At 36.1% G+C, this 23,187-nt stretch overlaps 1 protein-coding gene across 4 annotated transcripts in view, besides 1 other annotated feature; it reads right to left on the bottom strand.

Annotated features, from left to right (window-relative positions):
• Nucleotides 287–456: an enhancer, noted in NCBI's record as "experimental_23731 CRE fragment used in MPRA reporter constructs". NCBI's record gives its function as "activates a minimal promoter by MPRAs in K562 erythroleukemia cells, with activity observed for the introgressed 12:104510455 variant allele {active_cell/tissue: K562}" and the evidence as "EXISTENCE:reporter gene assay evidence [ECO:0000049][PMID:34662402]".
• HCFC2 (host cell factor C2) overlaps nt 10,524–23,187 on the bottom strand; it is a 41,994-nt gene continuing 29,330 nt past the window's right edge. The window contains exons 11-15 of one of the 4 annotated variants that reach the window (NM_013320.3): nt 21,485–21,688; nt 20,615–20,688; nt 18,568–18,705; nt 14,895–15,080; nt 10,524–14,089 (exon numbers count right to left, since the gene is read on the bottom strand). In NM_013320.3, the coding sequence (NP_037452.1) occupies nt 13,775–14,089; nt 14,895–15,080; nt 18,568–18,705; nt 20,615–20,688; nt 21,485–21,688 (917 nt within the window). In that variant the 3' untranslated portion in view covers nt 10,524–13,774. Of the gene's footprint in view, nt 14,090–14,894; nt 15,081–18,567; nt 19,181–19,356; nt 19,438–20,614; nt 20,689–21,484; nt 21,689–23,187 lie in introns of those variants that run through there. The other 3 variants (XM_047428753.1, XM_017019242.3, XM_047428754.1) reach the window with 3 other exon arrangements.

The following is a 23,187-nucleotide window of genomic DNA, read 5'->3' as shown; positions in this document are numbered from 1 at the left end:
ATGGGTTTCCGTGAGTGAGTTCCAGGTAGTAGAAGGGGACTTAGGTAGCTTCTATCTTAGATAGCTTCTATCTATCCCCTCACTACCTCACTCTAACGGAGATGCTTTAAAATCCTCTTGAGTCCAATGAGGATTGTTTTTTAAATGCTGCCTTCCAAATGTCACATACTTAGATATGACAGTGTTTGAAGCTATTTGTATTTTTTTTCCCCTCCTACACTGTATTATGTGTGCAGTGTTTTCCTTTCTTCAAAAACATGCCTTATTGCCTGTTTTCTGGGTTGTCTTAGTGAGTTAAAGGAGTACCAATTAACTTTAATAATTCTAATTGAATATAGTTATGAGGGCCCAATTAAAAGGACTTCTACAGCAGTAGAAATTAGGCATGAAAAGTGGAAAGAATAGTTTCTCCCATTTGCTAAGAATGAAATCTTGCAATGCAAGATTTTTAAAAAATATTTTCTCTTAAGGAAAATTGTTATTTTATCAACAATATAAACAAGATGATGTTTGTTGCTTTATGTGATAAAATACACTTTAAGTCATTCAAATAAGTAATAATTAGGCAGCTTCTTAGAGGGCTTCAAAAGAAAGTGATACTGGGTGAAATCTATTTTACTAGTCTATTTTAAATGTATTTTTTGGTTTCCCTGAATTAGGCAGCTGATAAATTAATTTACATAAGTTAATAATTTGTATATATTGACCTTAAACTCCTATTAAGTCATATAATGTGCTTGTGAGTTAAAAAATGGAACTCTAACTTTGTTTTTTAAGGAACTATACTACACTGCCTGAAAAATATTCAGTTTTAATTTATGTTTTCTTTTAGAGCTAGAAATGTTACTTCACCAAGTTTAGCTCTCTCTTGACTGGGGAGCTCCAGTCACCCCTGATCTCGTCTAGGCTCCTTATGCCAAGTTCTTTGCCTCCCCCACCCACCTGCCATGACCTTAAACACATAGACTTCCCTCTGCCTAGTCCCACTCATTCTTCAGGTCTTAACTTCATCAGAAAAGGTCCTCAAACATTTGTAAAACCTTTGTACTAATCACCAAAAACAGAAAACAAACAGCACCACCCAAAACTGAGGAGATGTGTAATACAGCCTTTTATACTGGCTGCTGTACAGCCCCTTAGAAATTTGTTTCAAGACTGCTGCTTTTTGTACCTGATTTTAAGGATTTGTGAAACCATAAGGCAGAATCCCTTCAAATCTTGGGCCACAGATGGCACTGGCATGGATTCATTTCTCTGGCTTCTGGCCATTGCCTTTAAAGAGAGACACTTGCCTAATAGTAAAGTTACAGTTTTCCCTGATCTTACTCCAGACTGTTTCTTTTTCCACTGCATATTAAAGGGATACCTGTGCAAGACAACTTATTATAAGAACTCCTTTACCAAAATTAATCTGAGCAAGTGTGTCAGGTAAGAATAAAGTCATTAAAATATGTGCTGGCCCCCCCCCCTTTTTTTTTTTTTAAGACGGAGTCTCACTCTGTTGCCCAGGCTGGAGTGCAGTGGCGTGATCTCAGCTCACTGCAACTTCCGCCTCCTGGGTTTAAGCAATTCTCCTGCCTCAGCCTCCCGAGTAGGTGGGACTACAGGCGCATGCTGCTATGCCCGGCTAATTTTTTGTATTTCAGTAGAGACGGGGTTTCACCGTGTTGCCCAGGCTGGTCGCCAACTCCTGAGCTCAGCAATCCGCCCACCTTGACCTCCCTAAGTGCTGGGATTACAGGCGTGAGCCACTGCGCCCGGCCACTGGCACTGTCTTAAAGGCCATGTACTAGTTTTAGGGGAGCAAATTACGTTAATAGGTAATTCTTTTTTCTTCCACAAAAATATACTGAGATTATAAAATTCTGATCCATGGCATAAATTCTTGCCTCTTTTAAGGTATAATTTAGATCTTCCTTGATTGTCCTCTAAAAGCAAGCAGTAACAGGTTTGTGTCATACTTTTGCAACTGTTTTCCAGGGCTCAATTTCAGAGTACATCTGAATGAAAGATATTTCTGAACTTTGAACACTAGGCAGTTGTTGAAAACAGGTTACTGGGCAAGGAAAAGTCATAACAGAAAGTGCCTTTCAGCCAGGACAGGTATGCCAAGGAGGCTCATTCATGCATATATAATCCCCAATATTAGGTTTACAAGAAACCAAATCCAAATTCTTTTTTCAGATCAAAGCAATCATTAATCAAAGAACAATGTTTGGGACATTTAAGGAAATGGCAGAGCCATTCCTTACTTTGGAGGAAGAGTCTATCTTTAAAAAATAGTTTCTTTCTGCACATTCCCAACCTTGCAAGTAGCAGTCTCCACACCGTAAAAGTGCTATCTTACAGAACTGTACAGAGAGAACCAGACATCTTGGAAGTACCATGTATTCTACTCACATAAATATGGGCAAACTATTAATCCAGACTTCAGTTCCAAGAGTAAGACAGCCTAGATAACCTAACAACTCCCAGTTAAAAACCCCCAAATGCTTTATAACATAAAATAATGTGAACTATCAGCAAATTAATTGAATAATGCATTTTTAAAGTGTATCATGAAAGCAGGGATTTAGACAAGCTACTATAACCTATCCCTGACATTTGGAAATACGCTTTTAAAGAAACTAATGTGTTAAACATTTAAACCTCTTGAAGGATTAACCAAGAAAAATGAGAAAGCACAAATAAACAGGAATGAAGGTCAACTAACAGATGCTGTGGAGACTAAAATGATACAAGAATAATATAGACAACTTCATATAGGAAAAATCTTAAACTAAGATGAAATGGATAAATCCCTAGAAAAAAATAATAAACTGAAAAGAGGCCGGGTGTAGTGACTCACGCCTGTAATCCCAGCACTTTGGGAGGCTGAGGCGGGTGGACCACGAGGTCAGGAGATTGAGACCATCCTGGCTTAACACAGTGAAACCCCGTCTCTACTAAAAATACAAAAAATTAGCCGGGCGTGGTGGTGGGTGACTGTAGTCCCAGCTACTCGGGAGGCTGAGGCAGGAGAATGGCATGAACCCAGGAGGCGGAGCTTGCAGTGAGCAGAGATCATGCCACTGTACTCCAGCCTGGGCGACAAAGCGAGATTCCGTCTCAAAAAAAAAAAAAAGAAAACACTGATAAGAATAAAATCCTAATGTTCTTATAACCTTTAAAGACATTGAATACAAATCTTCCATTAATGACCAAATAGTTTTAAAGACTGTTCTGATCTTAAACATTTCCAGAAAATTGAAAAACTCACCATTTCATGAGGCTAGTATAATGTTGATACCAAAATCAGACAATGATAGGACATGAAAGTATTATAGACTGATTTTACTCATGAACATAGGGGCAAAACTATTTGTTTTTATTCATTTATTTTTGAGATATTGTCTTGCTCAGTTGCCCAGGTTGGACTGCAGTGGTGTGATCTGGGCTCACTGCAATCTCCACCTCCCAGGCCCAAGTGATTCTGGTGCCTCAGCCTCCTGAATAGCTGAGACTACAGGTGCACACCACCACGCCCAGCTATTTTGTATATTTAGTAGAGATGGGGTTTCACCATATTGGCCAGGCTGGTCTCGAACTCCTGACCTCAAGTGATCTGCCCGCCTCGGCCTCCCAAATTGCTGGGATTACAGGCGTGAGCCACCGTGTCTGGCCTATAGGACCAAAACTAAACAAAATATCGGCAAATTGAGTCCAGCAAAATATTAAAACACACACCCCATGACCAAGTTGGGTTTATAATTGGAATTAAAGGCTGGTTTAATATTAAAAAGTCAGTTACCATAATTTATATATTAACACATTAAAGGAGAGACAGAAAAAAAGCCTTGAATAAAATTCAATATCCAGGCCGGGCGCGGTGGCTCACGTCTGTAATCCCAGCACTTTGGGAGGCCTAGGCAGGCAGAACACAAGGTCAGGAGATCGAGACCATCCTAGCTAACACGGTGAAACCCCGTTTCTACTAAAAAAAAAAAAAAATTAGCCGGTCTTAGTGGTGGGCACCTGTAGTCCCAGCTACTCTGGAGGCTGAGGCAGGAGAATGGCGTGAACCCGGGAGGCGGAGCTTGGAGTGAGCCAAGATTGCGCCACTGCACTCCAGCCTGGGCGACAGAGCCAGACTCCATCTCAAAAAAAAAAAAAAAAAAAATCCATTCATAATACAACTATTGGCAAACTAGATAAAGAGGATAACTTCCTTGGCCAGGTGCAGTGCAGCACTGGCCATCTTAGCACTTTGGAAGGCTGAGGCAGGAGGATTGCTTGAGCCCAGGAACTGGAGACTAGCCTGAGCAACATAATGAGACCTCACCTTTACAAAAAATTTAAACATAAGCTGGGCATGGTGGCACATGCCTGTAGTCCCAGCTACTTGGGATACTGAGGCAGGAGGATCACTTGAGCCCAGCAGATCAAGGCTGCAGTGAGCTGTGATCATGCCATGCACTCCAGCCTGGATTAACAGAAACAAAAAACCAAACCAAAAAACAAAAAACTTCCTTAAACTGATAAAGGCCATTTACAAAAAAAAAGCCACTAAACAGTGAAATGTTAAAAAAAAAATCTTTAAATCAGGGTTAAGACAAGATTCACTATCAGTTCCCTTCAACATTGTTCTATAGGTGCTAGCTAGCACAGAAATACAAGAAATTTTTAAAAAGTTGTAAGGATCAGAAAGGACAAAAATTGCCACTATTTGCAAATGTTAATTTAAAAAACTCAAAGGACATCTAGATAATTGTTAGAACTAATAAAAGTTTAGCATAGTTGTTGGATCTAAAATCAATACATGCCAACATTATTTCTATATAATCAGCAATAATCACAATGGAAAGTATAATTTTAACAGGTATAATTTTATCTGTTACCAGATAGAAACAGGTAAACTAAATTTAATTAAACTGAATTTTAAAAATCAGCAACAATCAGAATGGAAAGTATAATTTTAAAAATTCAGTAATTCAGTAAAATTCAGTTACCATCCATAACAGGTAAACTGAATTTAATTAAACTGAATTTTTAAAATTATACTTTCCATTCTGGTTATTGCTGATTATATAGAAATATTGTTATGCATTTTGAATGAAATTAACAAAGTCAATAAAAATAATGAGAAAAATTTTAAGATAAAAACAAATTTTAAAAAGATAAAAATTCAGTTTACAGCATTAAAAACTATAAAACCACTAGGATGAAATCTAATACAAGATGTAAAGGCCTTTATGGAGAACATTTTTAAAGTTCATTGAGACATGAAAGAAGACCTAATAAATGGAAAGCTACACAATGGTTTTGGCTGGAAAGACTCATTACTGAAAAGATGTCAGTTTTCTCCAAGTGGATCAACAGATTATTTACAATTACAAAGACAATACACAAACTGAGAGAAGATATATGCAATATATTTAACTGACCAAGGATTGGTATCCATCATATGAATCAATGAAAAAAAGACAGACAACCTAATAGAAAAATGGGCAAAAGACAGGAATATTTCACAGAAGAGGAATCATGATGGACCCATATATGAAGAGACACTCAATTTCATTAGTAATCAGGGAAATGCAAATTAAACCCACACTAAGAAACCACATAATAGCCATCCAGTTGGCACATACAAAGATAGTCAAGACCAAGTGTTAGCCAAGATGTGAAGCCATGGGAACTCTCAACCACTGCCAGTGGGAGTATAAGTTGGTACAAATGTTTTAGAAAACAATTACCAAGTAAAACCCACTCCTTAGAGCAGCAGTTCTCAGTTTTGGTCTCAGAACCTCTTTCTATCCTTAAAAACTATTGACGGCCTCAAAGAGCTGTTGTTCATGTGGGTTATATCTATCAATATTTACCATATTAGAAATTAAAATTCAGACTTCTTAAAACAGAAATATACAAGTATACTTGATTAGCTGCCAGAGTGATGATGTTATCATACATCTGGAAAATGTGAAAAAATCGAGAATGAAATGAACAAATAATGCCTTAGTATTATTATGAAAATAGTTTTGTCCTCACAGACCCCTCCCAAAAAGGTCTCAGGGACCCCCAGGCGTCCCTGAACCACACTTTGACAACAACTGTCCTAGAGCAACTGCTGTAAAAGTGCACCAGGAGACAATACAAGAAGTCATTCATTCCTCAAATATTTATTGAGCATCTACCTGGTGCCAGGCATTGTTCTGACATTGGGAATATGGTAGAGTACAGAACAGACAAAACTTCTGCCCACACACAGCTTACATTGTAATTGGGCAGAATGTTCATAGCAGCATTGTTTGTAATTGCAAAATGCTGAAAACAATCCAAATCTCCATAAATAGAAGAATGGATAAATAAATTGTGAAATAGTCATACAATCGAATACCATATAGCTGTGAAAACATGAAATACAGTTACATGCATAAACATGGATGGGAATCTCAAAAACAATGTCAGAAAAAAGAGGTCACAGAAGAATACATACAGCATGATTCCATTTACATAAAAGTTCAAAAACAAATTTAAACAATATATTACTAGGAATACATACATAGATGGTAGAGTCACAAATAAAAACATGGGAAATTATTAACAAAAAATCCAGAAGAATGTTTACCTCATATAATCTATGGAGGGAGAACAAATGGGGGATTCTAGGCAGCTGAGAATGTTCTAGTTCTTAAGCTGAAGGCTGAGTACGTGTGATCATGTTATTTTTTAAACCATACATACACAATATACTTTTGTATTATTTCACAACAAACATTTTAAAAGAAAAAAGATACAAGGTTATGCAATACGTACTTTCATCAACAAAGGGAGAATATCTTCTGATATTTCAGCCACTACTGTGCTATGCAAATCAGTCAATTATAATAATGGGGGAAGCAATACATGATAATATGAAAAGGAAATGAGTATGGACTATTCCTCACGGAAGTTAACTAGATTCCCACAGGGTCAAGATCCAATGAGATGGCAATATTATAGCACTGTTCTTCCAAGTTGGCTTGGACTCACTGGCATGACTCTGGTTAATTGGTTACTTTGTTCTCTGGGTATAATTATTTATATAAAGCAGACAATGAAATGATAGGTGATATAAATTCCAAATAAATTGACAAAGAAACCACCTCTTTACTGAATTATGTTGACTTTCAAAAGTACAAATATCCTCTCACACATTCTCCTAATAATGATTTATGTATTAAGTATTCCAAAAATATGGAAAGTGTATGGCAGCAACTGACCGTTTCTCCACATTGCTCAATAACAGGTGCCTTGCTGATCACACAAATGTTATAACAATTTTGCAATCACGTCTTTACCAAGGTTATCAATGTCAGTGCCATTATGTAGACTTAAAAAGACATAGTTAAGATGCAATTTCTCCTGATTCAGAAAACTAGCTAGAAATTTTGATAAACAATCTAAAAATCCTCAAAAATTAAATGGATCTTGAAATAATCAGTGTGTCCCTGTATCTAAACAGGGCAGGTTAAAGTTATTATCTTGGGTTAGGAAGTTGCAGGAAAGTAGAAAGTATATTCTCCAGGTCCATTCTCTCCAACTGGGTCTAACACAGGATTGCCAACTCACCAGAAAGCTCCAGGTATTGCTGTAGCTATTTTTAAAATCCTAGGCAGCTACAAGACCTAGAATCTTATCCACATGTAAGCTGGGCTGGACAATGCCACCAGGGGGTGCTAAATCGCAACTGGCAGGATGATTGTGAATCAAGCAGTTTTATCTTCAGATCTCTGCCCACTCTCTTACATGCTATGCTTTGTTACAGCGGATGATAAACATTATGGCTGTAGCTTTTTGCCCCTTCCCCAATATGGAAAGAGAAAAGGAGGTAACTCTTCTTAAATTCTCAGAGAACGTCTACTCTATCTTCTCAGTAGGAGGAATGGATAATCTTTTTGGTTGGAGCTGGACATTTGTTGGAGTATAATTTACTAGTGGACATGGTTTTTCTATGTTCAAAAACAAACACTAGCTGCTACCTTTTATTTTTAACCTGTATGTGCTCATACCAAAGGGCTCATCTTGTGCCTTCCTCAATTCTCATGCTCAGGAATGATGGATCTTTTAGCTTCGTATCTTTGCGGGGGTAAGAAGACCATGAAGGGGAAGTGGGTAGAATGGTGGTGGTGGGGGGGGACGTTTCCTTCTCTGTGACATCTTCCATATCTGATATGCCACCAATTCATACTTTCTTCTCTTTTATAGGTAAACACCCTGACATCTCTAGGCACTCTTCAAATATCTTTTGAACAAGCAAATTAAAATCAGTAAATAAGGAATACTTCTGTAACCTTCACAACCTCATCTCTATGACTTCCCAGCATTCTCTCTATCCAAGACCAAAGGCTTTATAACCTTGCATTCTCATAACTTTTTTGAATGTGAGGTACTGGCAGGAGTGGTAGCCAGATTGTGAATTTGACGATTAAGTAGCAGGCCTTTGCTCAACCTAATTTATCCAAAATACCAAATATATAAAACAAAAGAACCTCATGCTCAGTTCCAGATCCCCTCTGCTGAGATTAATAGGCCCACAAGTGGACACTATTTTGAACAAGGAAGCTGGTGTTCTCAGATTTTATGGCCTTTTTTTTTGAGATGGGGTTTCACTCTTGTCGCTCAGGCTGGAGTGCAATGGCGCGATCTCAGCTCACTGCAACCTCCGCCTCCAGGGTTCAAGCGATTCTCCTGCCTCAGCCTCCTGAGTAGCCGGGATTACAGACGCCCGCCACCATGCCAAGCTAATTTTTGTATTTTTAGTAGAGACGGGGTTTCACCATATTGGCCAGGCTGGTCAATCCTCAGGTGATCCACCCGCCTTGGCCTGGGATTACAGACATAAGCCCTTCATTCGGTTTACAGAATTTATTGATTTTTCCCCCAGAATTTTGTAGTTCATGTTTTTCCAGGAATGATCAAAGTAAGTTTTTTTCTGGAGTCACAGAAATACATAAGTCTAGGGACTAACTATAACTAGAAAACTTAGAAGGGAGTTTTGCCAATGTCATCTCATTTTCCTGAGTGTAAGAATCTTTTGTCCTACAAGTTTAGAGGTGATAACAGTGACCTGACTTGATATTAACAGAATCCAATGCAGTTCCAATCCTGGTAACCATGTCCTTCAGCAGTTCCCTGAACTTATATAGGTAGGTAATTTCTAGTGTCAGAGATTAACTTTTGACAGTTTTAGCTTATTTTGATCATCCAGTGTTAAAAATCATAATCCAGCAATGCCCATAACCTCATGAAAGATCTTTCTTCTTTCTTTCCTTTAAGAAAAAAAACAAACCTGATCTGGTAGAAGGACCTTTTCCAATCAAAGACCTCCTATACTAAATCTCTTATCCCAGAACTTCTTTTAACCTAATAGCAGGGCAGGGTAAGACAAAGCTAAAGAGTTTGCATTTCCTCCAGATACTTGGCAAATCTGCAAAAAATCTCTTTCCCTTTCAAAGCTTCCCTCCCATTTTGACCTCTATTTAGGAGGAGTGGGAATATGAAGAAGTGTAAAGGTGACAATTTTCTTTACCCGCTTGTTAAAATATTTAAGTACCAGTTAACTAGCCAGCCAACATGGAACGGGTATAAAGACCCAGTCTCTGCCTTGAAGACCTACCATCTAGCAGATGGAGAGGGACATGCTAACAAATAGGGGCGCTAAGTTTTTAGACTGCTATGACAGAAGATTTAACAAAGGACAGTGGGAGAACAAAAAGAAGGGGTTAAATCTACCTGGTGGTGGAGTATGTCAGGAAAGACTTCTTCAGATTGGCAATTTGGCCTGAATCTAGGAAAAAAAATGAATGGGGACAGGTGGGAGTAAAAAAGGGAACCATAGACAGGAGGAGGTGTGTAAAGATGGACAGAAAGCATGGTATGATAGACACTACAAAAATGAGGAAGTGCCGAGACAGTGGACAAAAGTTTCAAATGACAAGATTAAATACGATAAAAGAGTTCCCTGGATTTGGGAAATGGGAGGTTATCCTTGAACTTTGCTAGAGCCATTTCAATGGAGCAGCAGGTCAGAAGTCTGGCTGCTATGAATTTAAAAGGATGAAAAGAATAAAGAAAAATATTTTAGAGTAAATGAAAGACAAAAAAAAGGTGACAACAAGTTTAGACTATTTCTTGGAGCCATTTGCCTTTTTACTTTCAAGCATACTAGTTCAGGTGTGACAAGGGTTACTTACATAGGATTTACATTTCTATGAGAAAACGACTCCCAACTGCCATCTTAAAAACTTAAAAACAAGTTTTTAAACACAATCCATTCTTAATTTAAAGGCTGCCTATATTATTTCAAACAATACAGGCAGCCTTTTAAATATATGTTTAACAATTATTAAACTTGTTAATTATTAAATATTAATTATTAAACATGTTAATATATGTTTAATATGTTTACATAATGTTATTTTAAATATAAAATCAACATTTCTACAGATTTACTCTGCCATCACTAACTTTTCTTTCATATCCTTCAAAATAAATAACACCTGTAATTGTTTATAGTAGAAAAGGTGCTTTATTTTACATATCATTGGTACACGATACATAAAACTGCCTAAAATCAGTCTTGAAAAACACAACAGTCAGTCAGTTACACCTTAAAGGGTCAAAGACCAAGTCTATTTTGCAAGCTACTTCATTTATGATCAAATGACTACAATAATTTTAAATACTAATAATGTCTTCATATCCAATGTTACAAATGATTTTTGTTACAAGGGCTGTAATTTTTTAAAATAAAAATATCTTTAGCTATAGACCTTATTTCTAATCAGAATGAATCTTTGCTAGTCTACAAGTCTTTGAAATAATAGATCAACAATTTCACCTTCCTATAGATAATTGTATTTATGTAATTGGGTAATGAGGCAGGAGTCCTTCATACATGCAATCAGATTATTTCAATTTTTTAAAAAATGCAGATAAAATTGAGTTTATATATACCCTATGTCTAATTAAGTTGCCAAAGAAGTTTATTAAACTAAAATGAAGCCAATATGATATTTTAGAAAACATAATTCTGAGAGCATGCAACATCAAAAATATTTTTACTACTTATGAGAGCCAGAGTTGCAGAACACAGAAGAGGACTGGCACAAAGTCTTGTTATATTTGAACTGCTTACCTGACTGGGAAGAGTAAAGAAAGTCATTTAACTCAGTGCAAATCCTATGAAAAATATCTGCATGATACAGCCTACTGCTACACAAAGGGATCTTCATTTAGAAAATGTGCAAATCATAAGAAGCTAAATGCACTTCTCTTGCTATTTGCTCCAATTCATTCTATTCATCAGCACACAGCTCTAAGATCTCTTATTAACTACTAATGTCAAAGCCACAGAGATTTCTTAATGGCATTTTTTAGTCAGCAATCCCTTATCACAGAGATAAATATGACTGGTGCTTAATGTACAAATGCCAAAAAAAAAAAAAAAATAGAATCTGGGCTAAGTCTCAGGGCAAAAACATTTATGATTTTAACAAATCCCTCAGTATAGAAAGACTTCTCTTCCCTCTAAACAGTTAAGTCATATGTTAGAACCACAGGTTCAGAATCACCTCCTGATCCAGAAGAGTGGAGGCTTAACTGAATCAAATACTAAACAGGTATAAATGTGCACACTCAAACAAATATTCTATCCTTTGCTTAAAATCAACTTATTCCTTGTTATCAGGAGAAGGGCTTCAAGATGCACGTTGTTAATTAATGCAGAGAAGAAAGGGTTAAAAGCCAAACTTTTTCTATTAAAGCAATAGATCTTTAAAATAACTGGGCTTGAAACATATACTTTTAGTATAACTTTCCATTCATATTCTTTTATAATTAAGTATACACATATACACAACAAACCCTAATATTTAATATGTGCAAAATTGCTTACCATGTATTTTAACTTTGGTTAAGTATTTGTTTAGCCTATATCAGATACATTACAGAAGCTAGACAAATGATTACAAACATAATAATGAGGTAAGTTAAAATTCTACTAGTGCAAAAAGCAAGCATATGCCAAAAGCAAAGCATATGAATTAAACAAATGCAGAATGAAGCTCTCACCAAGGGCATTGCTGGGATAACAAACCAGAGAAGCTCCTTGTAAACATTGTAAAGTACACATTTAAAGAGTAAAGATTCATACAGCCACAAAAAAGGTATTCTAACAACACCATAGTAGTGCATTTATTTTATCTTTAGAGTTTGGAAACCACTCATTATGTGTCTAACAATTTGCATATTTTCTTCAAGAGAAACTTAATTAGTGAGACACATTAATTACAAATACTGTAGTATAAAAATCCCAGTTCTTTACAAAAATTATATATTAAAATATTCTATACACTTTAAATTAGTAACTGGAACACACATATATATCAATTCTGCACAATTAAATCCATCTTTGCTGGGGGGTATCATACATGAAATTTGAGGACATAGCTACTCAGTCAACCTAAACTGGCATAAGGTTATGTGGTATAAAAAAAGATAGACCTGTGCCCCTGCAGTTATTGAAGCTCTTAGTTTGAAATATCTTTTCTGCAATTATTGCTCTGTATATTAATTCCAGATTTAAATAGGCAGTGGAACCATGAAATTCCTAAAAGGTTTAAAACAAGTTACCTGTAGCAGAGTGTTTATAATGCCTATCTGTATCTTTAAGGTTGTAATGGAACCTGAGTTAGCTGTCTAATGCTTATATTTTCATAGTAAAAAAGTTTATACAATTTCAAGGTAAAAACAATGCAAAAATAAAACATTTAGAGCATTTACAAAAATCTTACAAATGTTTAAAACACTATTTTAAAACTTGTGTCCTGTTAAGGTGCTTGTTTTTTTCTCCAATAGGAGGACATATACTTTAATTTTGAATTCAATTATGAAGATTTTAATTTTAGCAAAAGCAAAATTAGAGCCATTAAGACAGATGAAAATGTTCAGGGACATACTTCACTTCTACTAAAAACACAAAACCTTAGTGCTGAAAGGGACCTAAAAGATAAACTGCTTTAACTCCCTCATCTGTTATGAGGAAAATGAGGGCCAGATAAGTTAAGTGCTTTGGCCAAAAATATATTCAAATATATTGGCCTGGTAAGAATCAAGAAAACTCATTGTTCTTGTTGTATTTTACCATGATTCTTGGAAAATAATAAAAGTTCAAAAGCAGTTTCTAAACTTGCCTCTTTTTTAATTTCTTAAGCTCTGTGCTAACTGTAAACAAAGAAAGGAATCAAATAACTATTAGAATTATTATAGTATCACACATATTATCCAATAGAAGACAGTTGTTAGAGGAACACTGCTCATATAGAATAAAGATAGAAGGAGTACTCAAAGGTAGGACATTTACAATGTAGAGAACATTTACTATATAAGACAGCATAGTATACAACAGCCAGTTACCAGAATCATCTCAATAACTCTAGGATGACTGGGTTACACAGCCCTTATAAAAGATATTGGGGTAATAAAGCTTTCTAGCTTTTATCTTAATTTCACTGTTTTTCTTTATAAAAGAGCTATATCTGTAAGGAAGAACTCATATACTAATTTTCAGAGAGTCTTTGCTTCTTTTCTTTTATTTGGATCTATAATTCAGCAAATACATTTTAAGAACAATTTACAAACTCAAGTTCATAACTGCTGGAAATACAGCCAGAGAATACTCTTTTAAATGACAAATCTTCATAACCAGTTACTAATAAATAATCATCATCACAATAGCTTCAGTAAAAAAACCAATTCAATTTAAAGGTGCTTTCTTATTGTTACCTTGAAGCCACCGAACTTGTGTAGCTGGTCCATATCCCTTTTCATTCTTTGCTGATATCCTGAACACAATGGCAGGCCTGGATGTATAATCAATATGTGCATTTGCAAGTTGCCCAGCAGTTACTATACATGATGTCTTAAGACCACAATAAATCCTCATGAACACAAGTTGACTTGGATTATCTTGTATCTGTGCTGTGCGGATAGCCAAGTAGGCTGAATATTCCAAAATATTTCCAGAAGGTGAGGTTGGAGGTTCCCAGGAAAGGTGGATACCTTCAACATTCTTGAAGGGGGGGGGAAAAAACAGGTTAAAGGTTCTTAAGTTTCCTCTGTTATCACTTATTATGTTGAGTCTATCTTTAGAATACAAAATGTTCATTTTTACTAAAATAATTGCATTAGATGTTACATCTTTTATTGTTGATTTTTAAAACCTACCTCATTTGGATCTACAATGTTTAATTTCATGCTTGCTTTTCAAAAACACAACTAAGTTTAAATGTCTGCCTGTAATATCCCAAAACAGGGATTTTTATTTCCTAAACAATCTCTAGGGAGGGACAGGACATTAGGATAAAATATAATCCAGTTTCGAGTGCTCTATTAAAATTCTCCAGCCAAATGTTTTCGTTCCATAATAACAAGAACAAATTTAGAAGCATACCAGATTTCCCTGCCTTTCTGTGATTTGGATGCTGTAATTTTGCTTGAAATCACATGGACACATAGAGGGAGACAACACACATTGGGGCCTATCAGAGAGTGGAGGGTGGGAAGAGGGAGAGGATCAGGAAAAATAACTAATGGGTACTAGGCTTAATACCTGGGTGATGAAATAATGTGCACAACAAACCCCCATGACACTCATTTACCTTTGTAACAAACCTGCACATGTACCCCTGAACTTAAAATAAAAGTTAAAAAAAATGAATGATTAGCTAAAATTATTTTTTAAACTTTAAATCCATCCTTTTAGGTATCTCTCATTTCATTAGATGGTAACAAGAATTTCTAAACTGACAGTTTACTTCACATGTGAAATTTCAAATAATTTAAAATCACCAACAAGTCTTGACCCGATGTCTCACCTTTGAAATTCTGACTGCAGAAGGAGCTCCAGGAAAACCAGGAATACAAGTTTTAAATTCACTGATTTTGCTGAAAGGACCTATCCCACAACCATTGATTGCAGCAACCCTGAATCTGTATCCTGTGCCTGGAACAAGATCTTGTTTCTTAAGCAAGCTGTAGTCAGGTACATCTGCATTTCCTACCTAAAATGTAGTATATGCAAAAGTCAAAGAAAAGGTACAACTAATATATTAAAATTTTAAAAATTATTCAATTTTTATTAAACAAAAAAACTTTTAAAGAATAAATTATGTTTTAAGGTTCTGGTTCACATTTATCTCCCTCTCTCTCACATGGAATGAACCCTCCAATAGACAAGCAACTAAGTCCATAAATCTGTGCTCCTTATCCAGAGGTGAGCACTCTTTCCAGTTGAGAATCACTGATTACACAGAGAAATGTAAGAGCATTCTGCACGTGAACAATGTGAAGGTAGAAAAAAAGCTGACAACTGCCATAAACACAACTATCCCATCATCATGTAAACTTATCTTGAAGCAGAAATCTCAGAAGATATACCGTCAAATAATAGTCTGCCCAGGAACAATACCCTTTAGAGACAGGCAAGCAAGCTTCATAGAAAAGGAGTGACTAGCATGTAGTACAGAGAATTTTTTTTTTTTTTTTGGAGACGGAGTCTCACTCTGTCTCCCAGGCTGGAGTGCAGTGGCACAATCGGCTCACTGCAACCTCCGCTTCCCGGGTTCAAGCGATTCTCCTGCCTCAGCCTCCCGAGTAGCTGAGATTACCGATGCCTGCCACCACACCCAACTAATTTTTGTATTTTTCAGTAGAGACGGGGTTTCGCCATGCTGGCCAGGCTGGTCTCGAACTCCTGACCAAATGTGATCCACCTGCGTCGGCCTCCCAAAGTGCTGGGATTACAGGCGTGAGCCACCATGCTCAGCCTATAGAGCATTTTTTAAATTAAAATTCAACAGACACCAAATAAATGTTAAATAATTAGATTATATACTCTAGGTAGGAAGATAATAACATTTACAACTTTCAAACAATTTTTACATATTCTCCCTAACTCTCCCAGTTAGACAGAGTGCCACTGTGTTCTCGTACTTTAAGGGAGCCATGTCATCTCTATTTTACAGATGAGGAAACTGAATCTAAGAGAGATTAAACAAGTTGACTTGCCAAGATCACACTGCTGAATGCTGGAGCTAGTGATTTAAACCTAAGTTTACTAGCTCTAAATTTTAGGCTATTTTTTTCTTTTAGGAAAAATCAGGTAGCTACTAGGCCCCTAGACACAGACACGTCTTTATATATGAAATCAAACTACAGTGAGAAATTTCACTGGGCATAATACTAATTATTAACTAGAATTTCTATTTTTGTCAAGAATTAGAAAAATTCTGTATGAAAAAGAGGGATATGAGGAGTAATAGTAGAGCAACTAAAATATATATAAATATATAGGATATAATCCTCATTTGTGCATATCTTCGGGAGATTCAAAATGAACATCTATTTCCTTGGCAATTCTCTCTCAGAAATTGTCCATTTAATAATTTTTTTTTTTGAGACAGCATCTCACTCTGTCATCCAGGCTGGAGTGCAGTGGCCTGAACATGGCTCACTGCAGCCTTGACCTCCTGGCTCAAGTGATCCTCCCACCTCAGCCTCCCAAGTAGTTGGGAGCAGAGGCACGTACCTTGCCCAGAAAACTTCTTTATTTTTTGTAAGACAGGATCTTGCCATGTTGCCCAGGCTGGTCTCGAACTCCTGGGCTCAAGCTCCTCCCACCTTGGACTTCCAAAGTACTGGGATTACAGGCATGAGTCACTGCACCTGGCCTTCATAAATTTTTCCAATGTGCTTTGGAGCTGTTATCTATTTAATAATTCTTAGAAGCTTAAATGTCTAATTTACATATATACATAAAATATCTCATATATGTATATGAGGTCCTCTTTAAGGGGTTTCAGAATCAAGGGAACATTAGATTGTATTTAATAGCATATCAGGGTTTTTAGATTTCTTTTAATTGTAAAATGAGGAATAAAAAAATTCTTTTTCAATAGGAAAAAAAAAGTTCCATTCTCTAGACACACCGGTTAACAAAATTAGAGCTATTTCAAAAAACTCTTATTTGTGCTAGTCAGACTAGATTATTTATGACTTAAAACCCAGCTCATTGGCTGGGTGTGGTGGCTCATGCCTGTAATCCCAGCACTTTGGGAAGCCGGGATGGAAGGATCACTTGAGCCCAGGAGTTTGAGACCAACCTGGGCAACATGGTGAAACCCAGTCTCTACAAAAATTAGCTGGTCATGGTGGCTTGTCCCTGTAGTCCTAGCTACTCAGGAAGCCAAGGTGTGAGGATAACTTAAGCCCAGGAGGTTGAGGCTGCAGTGAGCTCAGATTGTACCACTGCACTCCAGCTTGGGTGACAGAGCAAGACCCTGTCTCAAATAAACAAACAAACAAACAAAAAACTCTCCACCTCAGTGATTGTATAAGTTTTTTTTTTTTTTTAAATTTAGAGATAGGTATTGCCATGTTGCCCAGTTTGGAATGTAGTGGCTATTCACAGGTGCTATCATACTGCACTGCAGTCTCAAACTCCTGGGCTCAAGCAATCCTCCTGACTCAGCCTCCTGAGTAGCTGGGACTGCAGGCATGCTCCACCACACCTGGTTCAAAGATTTTTTAAATGACATGCTTGTGATGTAGTCCATACAAAGGGCCTTAACACAGAATACAATGTAACTTGGTGATATGATTTGGATCTGTTTTCCCACCAAATCTCATGTAGAATTGTAATCCTTAGTGTTGGAGGTAGGACCTGATGGGAGGTGATTGGATCGTAGGGGCAGAGTTCTCATGAATGGTTTAGCACCATCCCCCCTTAGTATTGTATAGTGAGTTCTCATGAGATCTGGTTGTTTAAAAGTGTGTGGCACCTCCCCACTCCACGCATTGCTCCTGTTCATGCCATGTAAGACATGCCTGCTTTCCCTTCACCTTCTGCCATGATTGGAAGTTTTCTGAGGCCTCCCCAGAAGCTGAGCAGATGCCAGCATCATGCTTCCTGTACAGCCTGTGGAACCTTGAGCCATCCAGTCTCAGATATTTCTTTTTTTTTTTTCTTTTTAGATGGAGTCTTACACTGTCACCCAGGCTGGAGTGCAGTGGCACCATCTCGGCTCACTGCAAGCTCCACCTCCCGGGTTCATGCCATTCTCCTGCCTCAGCCTCCTGAGTAGCTGGGACTACAGATGCTCGTCACCACGCCTGGCTAAGTTTCTGTACTTTTAGTAGGGACGGGGTTTCACCGTGTTAGCCAGGATGGTCTTGATCTCCTGACCTCGTGATCTGCCTGCCTTGGCCTCCCAAAGTGCTGGGATTACAGGCGTGAGCCACTGCGCCCGGCCAGTCTCAGGTATTTCTTTACAGCAATGCGAGAATGGCCTAATACATTTGGTATACAGAATTCTCAATTATATAGATTGTGGATGGATCCCAATTTTACTCATTCAAGTGACCTGAATCAGGGTTCTAAAAAAGAAATCTCATTCTTAATTTTTTTTTCCTTTCCCTAAGTTATTGGTAGAGAAAAATCTCATCCTTGAGGCTTATAATTTACAATGTAGAAAATATATCAATAGCTACCTTTGAGATGCTTTGCTTCCCTTTTGGCAGCAAATAAAACTGGCTCACCAAAGCTGTATTATTTTTAAAAATTCCCACATCACACCATTGTCGTTCTCCCGCTTTCACTGTGGCCACTGGATTTGAAGGAGTCTCTTTCTAATTTCAGAGAAAAAAAAATTTATGAAGACTCTTATTGAATATACGAAAAATTTCAAGATTTAATAAGTCCATGCAGTGATCTACAAGTAGGTATTTGGATAAACACCACAACATTAACAACTCATAAGTAAATAAAGTCTTAACAGATTAGGTCAACTGACAGTGAAACAGGGATGCCAATTCAAACACAGGAGTGACAGGCATTCTCCAAGTCAGTAGCTCTGTACTATCAACCTAGCTGGAGTTAGCATGCTTTCCAATCAGTGATATGTTAAAATGCCAGCTATTTTATAGAACATTGTCATTTCAGAGACTCTCTCAGAAAATGTAATTCCTTTAGCGTAACATTACAACTTGCTCCAAAGGAGCAAATACAGAAAAATTCATTCCAAGCTGGCTCATTTCTAGATCCAAAAACAACTAGCAAAAATTCAGTGATCTTTGCACTTGAAATACCTGTGATTCTCCAAACCTAAAAGGAGAAAAAATGTTCAAAACTAAAATGCAATTTGAATATACTTTGGTATATACTAAAGAGGAGTATATTAAACAGTTTTACATTTTTTATCCTGTTTTAAAACAAATAAACTTCCTCTACCTTAAGCTACTTTTAGTGGTAAGTGAATTATACTTATCCCTGGAACTAACCTTTTAAAGCCATCTTCTTATAAATGAGACACTGTTTCCAGAAGCTCAAAACAAATGTGCACTTCAGTTATTTATTTCTGTCTTAAATATATAACAGCAGAGGTACATGCTTATAATTCACATTTTTTTAATATTTAGGCTATCACACATGACAAAGTGAGCTAACTAGAAGAGTCTTTAAAGTTAAAAAAAAAAGTAATAGCTTTAAACTTGTTTTCATTCTATAAAGTTGTAAAAACTCTCTTCAACAACTTTTATAAAACAACTGGCTCCAACTCAAATAACAAATACAATTCTGGCTGATGCATGGCAAAACAGACTCAAGAGAAAAAAAATTCATTTTAGTAATCCTTCCCTAAGAAGAGTCTAAAAACACTAGAACTTAACATTCTGGAAAGATGAAAGCTGATAAAGGTAAATATATGGTCATAACCCATAAAGTCATGATTGAAAGAAAATAAAAACTAAAGAGAATTCTTAAAGATTCTAAAGGTTAAATTTAGGTCAAATGAAAACTCTTGCTCACAGAAATTAAGTTGAAATGACTAATAACAAAAAAAAACCTCAAAAGTACATATATGTATGTATTATCCTTGTATTTATCTAAGTAAGACAATCTTGGTATATTTGTAAGGCACTTTCCTGGCATTTAAAGTTTGGTGCCATGCATACCAAATTTGGCCTATGTAAGACAACCAAATATCAGAGATTATTGGGCTACCCTACATTTATGTCAATCCACTATTGCAATATTCTGTTGTGCTCCTATTAAGCAGCTAGCAATACAGCCATTCAAGTTTTATGTTCCATAACACACCTTATCTTTTAACCATTAATGTAATTTACACATATATACACATATATGTATGTATATATACATACACACATTTCTGATTATAAAAATAACATTGCATTATAGAAAAATATAAAAAGCATAAAGAAGAAAGTCAAAAGTATCTGTGGCCCCCCACCTGGATTTCAGAGTGGTTATGTGTGGGTACATGTGAGAGTATAAATGTATGAACTGCATGTATTTTTTAATAAAATTGGGAACACAACACATATGTTATTTTTTATCCAGCTGTTTCACTAAACATTATACTGTGAACATTTTCCTATTCAATCATTTATTTCTAAATTTATGTCAGTTCATTACTGAGACCTGAGAATCTTTTTATGAAATTATTTAGAAGTTGCTCAGCATTTAAAAGTACATAATCATGTGTAAACATGCATCATCACCAGGTCATGTACTTACAGAAAACGGCGTTGCTGTAGCATGTGTCTCTACACGGCTGATCTTCGTTGCAGGCAGTGCATATGTTTCATCAACTAAAAATTAAACAATTTATCAGATAAGATTTACATAACTTATCAGATACATTAAAATATAATTTTTAAATATATATTTAATGCCACCAACTGTAAACTTAAAAATGGCTAAGACAGCAAATTTTATGTTACATGTATTTTATCACAATAAAAAACAGCCAGAGGGTATTGTACTATTATTTACAATAAGTAGTAATATTGACCCTTTAACTCAAAACAATTCATAAACTTCATTTTTCAAGGGTTTGATGACTAGCTAAAACTTCAGAGAATGTTCACTAAAGATGCAATACAATTCCTATTTCAAAAGAATAAAGAATTTATCAAATTAGAAATCAAGCAAGTTGGAAGAATTGTTAATACACAGTCTAGAACCAATCTTGTCTAAAAAAAAGTTTGCTAAATTTATTCATGGTAGGAAAGACACATTCTGATTGTATTTCAATAGTGTGTGCTAATCTAAATATTTTATGCAGAGAATATTTTATAAAATAATTTTAAATGAAATGCTTTATCTGTTTACATTACATTCTGGAAAGATGAAAGCTGATAAAGGTAAATATATGGTCAAAATCCATAAAGTCATGATAGAAAGAAAACAAAAACTAAAAAGAATTCTTAAAGATTCTAAAAGTTAAATTTAGGTCAAATGAAAACTCTTGCTCACAGAAATTAAGTTAAAATGACTAATAACAAAATTCCAAGATGAAATGCAACTCCCATCTAAGACAAGTAAGTTTGATGAATTTATATACATAAATGGTTCAAAATACAGTATGTGAAACACATTTCAAACCTTCAGATTTGGTACTGAATGTTGTTAGTGAAGTTTCATCTTTAACAACTGCCCCATTTGTACTGGATGATTCAGTTTTAATGGTCTGCTGGGTTACCATAGTTTGTGTGCTGGAAACAGTACTGGATACAGATGTTTCAGGAATTACTGTTCTTACATCCAGGCAACTACTTAGAACACCTACATTTGCTGAAGTGTGAGGACCTAAAATAAAAGGGAAAAGGTAATTATTAATATGATATCTGCAGATAATTGTTGTGTCTTATCGTTCTTGTCATATGATTCTTGGTACTTTCAGTTTTAAAATCATACATGAGCACCACAAATGGTATTAGTATGAATTATCCATTAGGCATAAAATGTTTAGAAAAATAAAGTGCATTATATCCATAATGGATATCCAACTTTTTACCTTCCTCGTTCATTCTAAACACCGAACCATTGTTCTTGACTTTCCACTAAATCATAGATCAAATGGCTCTGCCCTTCATTTCAGGAAAAAAATATTAGAGGTCATTAAGCATGAATTATCTCAATTTTCTGCCTTCTCTGGCTGCAAACTAGAATTGTACTAATAATTGTGCTCATCCTCCCTGTCTTCCATTGCAGAAGATTTGCTGACCTCTCTCCTAAAAAATCTGAATGTATCTTCCTGTACTCTTGGTCCCATTCCTTCCCCTATATGTTGGGACCCTCATCAATCATTCCTCTCTCTTCAGGGTTTTCAGATTCTTTGTCAGTAGGTTTTGGTCCTTGGCTCGTAAACATCATCAAATCCCTGAAGCAAACAACGCACCTCTTTGTTTACCCAACAATTCCCACCAATTACCCTCTCCCCTTACTAATTCCCTTTAGAACAGTTTATACTTCCTTGATCTCCCCAAAATTTGATTTCTAGCACACTACTTTAATAAAATAATTCTGGCAAACATCAATGATTTCTAGGGGATATTTTTCAATTTTCATTTACTTGACTTTTCTGCACTGTAAACAATGCTGACCACATACTCCTTTTTGAAGCTATTTTTTTTCCTATGACGTATATTTATTCATTCCACAACAGTGAAGTCTACCATGTATGAGACATTGTATTTGTTTTTATAATGGTGAAATAAGGCAGGCATAGATCATGCCTCACAAACTTAAGCCTTCTTCTTGTCGCCCTTTACATATTTTTCTGTGCGTTAAATACCATTCCCAAATCCATACATATGTCCTGGACACTGTACCAGGTGCTAGGAATCTAGCAGTGAACAAGTCAACAAGATCCTTGCTCTTTTGGAGATTACATTTAAATACTCTTAATTTCTAAATTTATGTTTCTAGCCTAGTACTGCCTTCTAGACTCCAGGCCTAAGTATCCGACTGCCCATTAGAAATCTTTACCAGTATATTGCTGAAGTGCCTCAAAAACAGAGTTCAAAGTTGAACCTATCTTTTCCAAAATCTGTTCTTGCTCCTATATTTCCTATTTTGGTGAAGAGTATCATTATCTATTCTATTGTCCAACCCAAAAAACTGGGAGTCATATTCAACTCATTTTTATTTCTCATATACAACCAGTTGTCAAGTCTAATAGATGAAACCTTCTAAACGTCTCTTAAATGATGAATTCTCGCCTCTCCATTTCAGCCACTGCTTTAGTCTCTGTGTATCTCCTGGAGTCAGCCACTGCTTTAGTCTCTATGCATCTCCTGGAGTCC

Source organism: Homo sapiens, chromosome 12, assembly GCF_000001405.40.
Source record: "Homo sapiens chromosome 12, GRCh38.p14 Primary Assembly".
NCBI lineage: Eukaryota > Metazoa > Chordata > Mammalia > Primates > Hominidae > Homo > Homo sapiens.
The sequence above is the reverse complement of the archived record's forward strand: the minus strand, read 5'-3'. Positions and strand labels throughout refer to the sequence as shown.